This window comes from Homo sapiens, chromosome 13 (assembly GCF_000001405.40).
Source record: "Homo sapiens chromosome 13, GRCh38.p14 Primary Assembly".
In the NCBI taxonomy this organism is placed as follows: domain Eukaryota; kingdom Metazoa; phylum Chordata; class Mammalia; order Primates; family Hominidae; genus Homo; species Homo sapiens.
In genome coordinates, this window is record NC_000013.11 from 78,876,376 (window position 1) to 78,883,978 (window position 7,603).

At 41.0% G+C, this 7,603-nt stretch overlaps 2 annotated features.

Annotated features, from left to right (window-relative positions):
* Positions 315-816: an enhancer, noted in NCBI's record as "H3K27ac hESC enhancer chr13:79450825-79451326 (GRCh37/hg19 assembly coordinates)". NCBI's record gives its function as "activates a minimal SCP1, AML or CMV promoter by ChIP-STARR-seq in naive H9 embryonic stem cells {active_cell/tissue: H9 hESC(naive)}" and the evidence as "EXISTENCE:reporter gene assay evidence [ECO:0000049][PMID:30033119]".
* Positions 817-1,316: an enhancer, noted in NCBI's record as "H3K27ac hESC enhancer chr13:79451327-79451826 (GRCh37/hg19 assembly coordinates)". NCBI's record gives its function as "activates a minimal SCP1, AML or CMV promoter by ChIP-STARR-seq in naive H9 embryonic stem cells {active_cell/tissue: H9 hESC(naive)}" and the evidence as "EXISTENCE:reporter gene assay evidence [ECO:0000049][PMID:30033119]".

Here is a 7,603-nt window from a genome sequence, read left to right on the forward strand (position 1 = left end):
ACTGCTTCCTGTCACATGGGGCAGCCACCTGGTGCCAGCAGAGGGCAGGAGAGCTATAGTGTTACAGCAACTCTGGCTTGGAGAATCCCAAGGCCTGGGTCCCCAGAAGAGTTGCCACTCTTCAATCCTGCAGTCCAGGAGCATGTCACTGGCCACAGTTTGGCAAACTGACCAGGAACATGTTACAGCTCCTTTCGCTCCCACCATTTGGCAGGTCCCGAATTCTTTTGCCAGGTCCAGGAAGAATGAGGTTACATGGACAACTGGAAGGTGAGCAAGGCAGAGAGGAGTTTTATTGAGTGACAGAACAGCTCTCAGCTGAGAGGAGACCCAAAGTGGCTAGCTCCCATCTGCAGACAGGTTGTCCAACTAGTCTGAGTCTGGGGTTTATATCGGCTCAGAAGGGAGGGTATGCATACTGATTGGTCCATGGGTGGCCATGGGTGGTCCTGGAAAAAGCACTATCTTATTGGCCAAAAGGCATCAAGGAAGTTCTCACTCCCTGTCACAGACACCACTGGTAACTGGCAGCCTGGCCCCCAGGCTTCAGGCTGTCTCTGGCTTGAAGGTAGAATTTCACTGGGGACCTGCCCCCTCCCACCCAGGAAACTGTCTGCCTCCCACTGCCAACAACATGCTGTCCACAACACCTAGGCTTTCTGTGCCAAGAGACACCTGCAGGCCTGTGCCAACCTGTCCTCAGCCACCACTGCCAGCCTCTCTCCTGCACTTGTAGGTGCCCAAAATCCAGAGGGGGGCTGAGGCAGCAGGGAGCTGATGTGTTCATGCTGCCCCAAGTGCATGCACACCTGGCTGGGTTGCAACAGCATCCAGGCTCAGCCATTACTTTGCTCCACACTGGAACAGGCACTGGGAGTGGGGAGAAGCCAGAGAGTGAGAGCAGGCACTTCCAAGCCTGTGGGGCCAGGGGGCTCCCTGGGCCCCTGAGAGTGCAGGAATGCTCAGGTTTGGAGCTGTGGCTGGGTGGCTGCAGCTGCACCCAGCAGCATGGGCTTCCACCCTGGCAACTTGGTGGGGCATGGGGCTCCCACTGGGATCACCTATTCCCGGCCCCCACCAGCTCCACAGAATGCACAGCTCCAGTCATGCCTATCCTGCTGTGGCTGAAATCCTTGCAGCAGCTGCTCCAGATGGGCTGCTGCTGCCATCAGTAACATACCATTGCTTTGGACATATTCTATTCATTAGAAACAAGTCACTAGGTTCAGCTTACACTCAAAGGCCCATTACATAAGGGTGCAAATCCAAGGAGGAGAAATCACTGGGAGCCAGGTCAGAAGTTGCCTACCACACCACCCATTACTAGATGGAAACTGAGGGAGGTAATCTCATTGCAAACTGAGGAGCCCAATGAATGGAGAACACAGACAGGAGACCTTTCCCACTACAGGCTGAGCAGTCAGGTAAGAAAAGGCCAAAAAGCAATCACTGGATTTGGCAACACTGGCATTATTGGAGACCAGTGAATGCCAGTAAAGGTAGCAAGTTCAGAAAAGAGATAAGTGAAGAAACCAGATGGTGGTGGGATGAGAGTTACCAGGAGTGGTGAGGTAGATACAGTAGTGTTCAAGATTGTTGGTGTATTTGTTTTCTATTGCTCTATAATAAACCATCATAAACTTAGTGTTTTAAAACTACACAGATTTATCATCTTGCATTCTGGGAGGTCAGAAATCTTAAAAGTAAGGTGTTTAAAGGGTTGCTTTCCTCTGGAAGCTCTGGAAGTCAGTCCCTTTCCTTGCCTTTCCAGGTTCTGAAGACTGCCTGCATTCCTTGGCTAGTGGCCCCTTCCTCCATCTTCAAGACCTGAAGCCTTGCACCTTCAATGGCTTTCTCTCTGACTTCTGCTTCCAACATCATATCTCTTTCTCTGATTCTAATCTTCCTGCTTTTTACAAGGAACATTGTGATAGATTGGGATCACCTTGATAATTCAGGATAATCTATTTCAAGTTCCTTAATCACATTACAAAGTCCCTTTTGCCACATAAGGTAATAAATTTAGTTTCTGAGGATAAGGACATAGATATTTTAGGAGGTCATTATTCTGTCTACTGGAGTTAGCTAGAGTTGGAAGAAAGAGGATAATATTTGGAAGCTCAGAGTTCAGGAAAAGTATTTTGTAAACTGTGTAAATGTGTCCATTTTATCATATAACAGGCTCTGTGGATGAATAATTCTGTCTCTTTTATTGATTGATTTACAGCACCAGTAAGGGTCTACAGATGTTGAATGGAACAAAATGGTGTCTAATCTGCTCACCTTTTTCAAAACTCTGAATATACTCTGATCTACCTAATGCTAAATGATGAGTTAATGGGTGCAGCACACCAACATGGCACATGTATACATATGTAACAAACCTGCACATTGTGCACATGTACCCTAAAACTTAAAGTATAATAATAATAAAAAAAAGTGAACGAAAGCTCGGCAGCTTTTGCAAATGTCAGCAGTCTTTCCTGGGGTTGGGGAACTGTGAGGCCTAGGCCTGGCACCCAGCTTGCTAGTGAAGGTGGCCTCGTATTGCTTAGAAACGTTATGTTTCAGTTTAAATACCAGACAGTAAAAATAAAGCTCGAGGACCACCTGCACTGTTGCCAAATCATTGCCAGAATGAATAGCTTAAATAAATAAAAAATAGAAATATTTACTTCTCGATAAAAATAAAAGTAAAACCATTAAAAAAAAGGTAAAAATGAATACTCATGTTTGATGTTTGGTGAGATTAGACTTCTCAATATTTGTTCTCCTTTCTGTCCAGCTGAATAACTGACTTCTAATATTTTGCTTAATAATCAGTCCATGTTTTAAAATCAATGCATGGATAGTCAGTTGCAAAACTCAGTTCACATGACTGCAGATGGTACAGCATTGATATAAAATGGATATTTTATCTATATAACATTAAATCTGGAGGTTGCTAGGCAGTAAAACTGTCTTTGGATATTATTACCTATTTATAAAATATGCCATTTTCATTTTAGGCTTACTGGGCCTATTCTTCTACTGTAGTAAAACGAATACTTTCTACTCTAAAAATGTAACTCATGTTCATGGGATAAATTGAAATATTTAATAGAAACATCTAAACACAGTGGACTGCCATTACCACATTACCATATAGTGAATAATATCATGGATAAAAAATAGTCTAAGAAGTGCATTCCACAGGAACTAAAACATTATTTTAATTATAATCTGGTGTGTTGATTACTAAGGAAAATTTTAAAAATGTAACTATCTGATGATAAGGGAAAAACCCTTTTCTCTTGCAGCAATTGATTGAATAATTTGAAAATGGCCCATAAGACACCAAATAAATAATAGTGATATGTCTTGACCATTCACAGGGTATATATAAGTAGATATTACCTCTGTTCTTATATAAGGAAATGATAACTTAGTTATGGAGGCTAGAGAGACCCATAAATAAGTATAGATATGTTTGATAATGATAAACGAATTCACCATAGGGCTAAAGAATGGTTAAGAGGAGAAAAGAACACATTTAAAATGCATTAGGAAGTAGATTAGAGGAAAAATTTCCTGGTATTCTTCTAAGGAAGGATATTAAATACTTCCCTCCTGTGCTTTTTTCTACCCAAATTTTCATAGAAAAGGGCATAGAAGGGGCATATTTTGCTTCCTCACCTCTGAATCACAGCCACTGTTACTGATGGTTGTGGGTTGGGGCAGCCAAACTGTGAAAATAGCTGCTGGCCTACGTGATGCTTTAGTCTATCTGCTAATCCCCTGATTCCATGCAAATATTCAATTACCTTTTATTCCCGGTGTCCCTAACTCATATCCTCTTTGGTAATCTGAACAACTACTTCACTGAATCAAGAAAAGGCCAACTTCATTTGTGCCTTCACTGTCTTTTTGCTTTTACCTGAAAAATCCATTTCATCCTCCTCCTGTATTAATTCAAACTACTTTAACACTACACTCAATAACTTTCTCTCTTGAAGCCTCTCCTGCCTATATATTCTTGTTGTTCTCTTGTTTCTGGAAATTTCCGTGTATGTGTGCGTGTGTGTGTGTGTGTCTGTTAAGTCCATAGTTTGTACAATAAAATGGAGTGCTTAATTTTGTAAAGTCTTAACCTAGTTCAGCATTTTATTTTTAAGATAATATTAAAACACCTACCTCCCCTTACCCCAGCACACCATAAGACTTTAGCCAAAATTTGTCTGATAGGTGGGATTACATTTACACAAGTCCAGGAACTCATGAATAACAAAGTTGTCATTGGAAGGTAGATCAACTCTGTATCCCTTAACTCTATGCCACAGTCTCTCACCACAGATTAAATTTTCTATACTGGGAGGCAGTTTTAGGGAAAGAGAATTACAAATCAAATTATTGCTATCCTACTCATTTGTAAGAGTTTATTCTGATAGGGTGTGTAACCATGTCAGTAATTTGCCAGTTTGTTCTCAGATTCATTTCCTACCTTTGCTGTTTTGTTCTGCACTTTACAAGACTGTTCCCCAAAACTACACTTTCCTGCATTCCTGCCAGGTTTGGCCAGTGGGAGACATTGATAGGAGATTGGAGGGTGGGAAAAAGAAAAAATGCCTCCCTGATCCTGTCCAACTCCTGTTTGAGTAGCATCTCTGACAGATGCTGTGTCTCCTCCATGGCTTCATTTCCTGTCAAAAACCATTTCATTATATGGCTTCTGCTTCAGCTGTGCAGCTTCCGTCGTATTTCAGCCTCCCACCATAATGGCTGGTCTCTGAGATCTGGTCACAATTTCTCATCCCTGTATCTTTTCAGCCTTTGGAGTTGTGGCAGCTTTTTGCTGTTGATAATCTCTGGTTGCCTCCCAGTCCCCTGTTTGGCTTTCTAGCTCTTCCAACACCTCTCTATCTAATTCCACATATCAAATTTCCTCTATTGAATTACATAGCACGGGGTCTGTTTTCCTGATTGAACTGTGACTGAAACAATATCAGGGTCTCATATCTCTTCTTTGCCAAGCAGACACTAGCACCCTGGTGTGCCTGTGAGAGAGATACAAAGGCACTTGAGGGAAAAGGAGCTTAAGATTTTTGTACCGAATGGAAGAAAAAACTTATACATACTTACCGAATGTCCAGGCGCTGAATTTAGAATGTGTTCAATATTTCCATCTGAATTTATTTTAGAGGGGTAATCACAACGTTAATCTAAGGTTCTCCCAACTCTGAAACAAATATGGTTTTCTCAATTTGTTTTGAATGTATTTCTGCATCTTGTACAATGGTGTGTGATGTTTATCTTAACAGGGCTGACACAAAATCCAAGCCCCCTTCACCGCCAGAAAATAATTGTATCTTTCTGGTCTTCCTTGGCTCCAAAGAGCAGCTAAGCATACCCAAGTTCATTTAGGGAAACAAGAACTCTAAGTTAAAGGATCTATGGACAGGAAGAGAAAGAGAGCAATAAAAAGCTGAGTACAGAGACTGGGCTAATACAAGACATGATAATCAGACAAACTCTCCCTGTATATCTCCTCCTTGGCTTGGTTTGGAAACTATGTTTTCTCAGTCACAGCTCCTACATGTGGGCTTTCAGCTGTTGGCAGCTGTCCAGTTTAGCACTTCATTTCACACAACAGCTCCAATTTTCAAATATTGACTTGAGAACTTAGTCTCCCTGGTGCCAGCTCAATTCCTAAACATTATTGCATGTAAAGCTTTGATTATTATGATGTACTATTGGGGGTTCCTGTTATCAGACTAAATTCATCTTTATGGCATTCCTCTTATTGTAGTTCACCAAAAGCACCACACCTGCATGTAGCCTTACATGAAGGATGCCAAATCTGGTTTTAAATATGCATTTATGAAAAGATGTATATTTAAAGTGTACTTGAACTACGCATATTACGTATTAAGGATGATGAATGTTATGTAACTGGACACATAAATAAAATTGTGTGCTGCCCATTTTAAATGCAAAATGGTCTGTTTTTAGTATTTTAGAAGCAGAGCATTTTCATTAGCCTGACATCAGAAGGCACATTCTGCATTTGATCAGGGCTCTTGTGTGAGGTATAGTACATGGCAAAAGAGAAAAATAAGATTAATATTTATAAGTTGGTAATTGTTTTTCATAAGAAGGAATACAATATTACCACATTTCTTTCTTTCTTTTTCTTTAATTTTTTTTAATTTTTATTTTTTGAGAGGGAGTCTCACTCTATCTCCCAGGCTGGAGTGCAGCGGCGCGATCTTGGTTCATTGCAACTTCCGCTTCCTGGGTTCAACTGATTCTCCAACCTCAGCCTCCTGAGTAGCTGGGATTACAGGCGCACACCACCACACCCAGCTAATTTTTGTATTTTTGGTAGGGATGGGGTTTCACCATGTTGGCCAGGGTGGTCTGAAATTCCTGACCACAGGTGATCCATTCGCCTTGGCCTCCCAAAGTGCTGGGATTACAGGCGTGAGCAATGGTGCCCAGCCCCACATCTCTTAAATGTGAGAAAAACTGATAATTACCATGGAGAACACTACATTTCAATAAAATGCTTAAAACATAGTGATGGAGGTACTGGACTTGACATTCTAGAATCAAGAAAATCAAGGGTAACTGATTGTGAAATAGGTTATGTAGAACATAATTCAATGTAATGACTCTTATTTCTTAATTCTTTTCCACTTTATTCTCAGGTAGTTCTACCTGAGCATAAATTGTTGGGGAGATAAAACATATTGATTATTTTGAGATCTTATTAATAAATACCTTGTATTTGATGATTAAAAAATAAAGTTGGGCAAAGTGGATATGTATTGGGAAAGAATATTCAAAGCACTTGACACATTATGCACGAGGTCTTAAAAATGTGGGACAGCATGTCCACTTTAGAGATTACAATAGATCCATTATTCCAGGAGGGACATTTCCGGGGGAAGGACAGCAGGGGATAAGGCAGGTGTGAGAGGCAGAGTCCATGAGCCAAGGATATCCAGTGCTGTGATTAGAAGGTTAGCCTTTATTCATGGGTGGAGAGGAGCCAGCAGCCTGTTTTAACTGGGGGAGGGGGCTCACTGGGCCAACTCTGTCACATTGGTATTACTGAGGAACAGGGAATGAATGGCAGAGGGTGTGGGGAAAACAAAACCAATTCAGAAACTATTGCAATTATCTAGGGGAGAGTTGATGAGGATGGAATTAAGAGCGACAGTAGAGAGAGAAGGGGCAAATGAGGGTATGGGAACAATTCTGAAATATAACAAATATTTAAGAATGGAAGTTGATTAATATTATTTATGTTTCTCTTAATACCCTTCCGTATACAACTGGTTTTAATGCATATCAGTAGAAGTAGAATGTGGATAAATGTGTCTAGGCGAGAACAGAAAATCTTTCAATCATTTATTTGAGTACCATTAGAAAATAGGTGTACTCAACACAGTTAAAGGATCATATTGTCAGAATAGACATTAGCAATAGTTCAGTCTCTTCTCTCCTATTTATGCATGAATCTCATCTATGAATCTAACAGATCATTCTTTTATTCAAGTGACTCTTACCTCTCTCTACAGGCAGCCCTTCTGTTCATGTACAGCCCAAGTTATTAGTCATT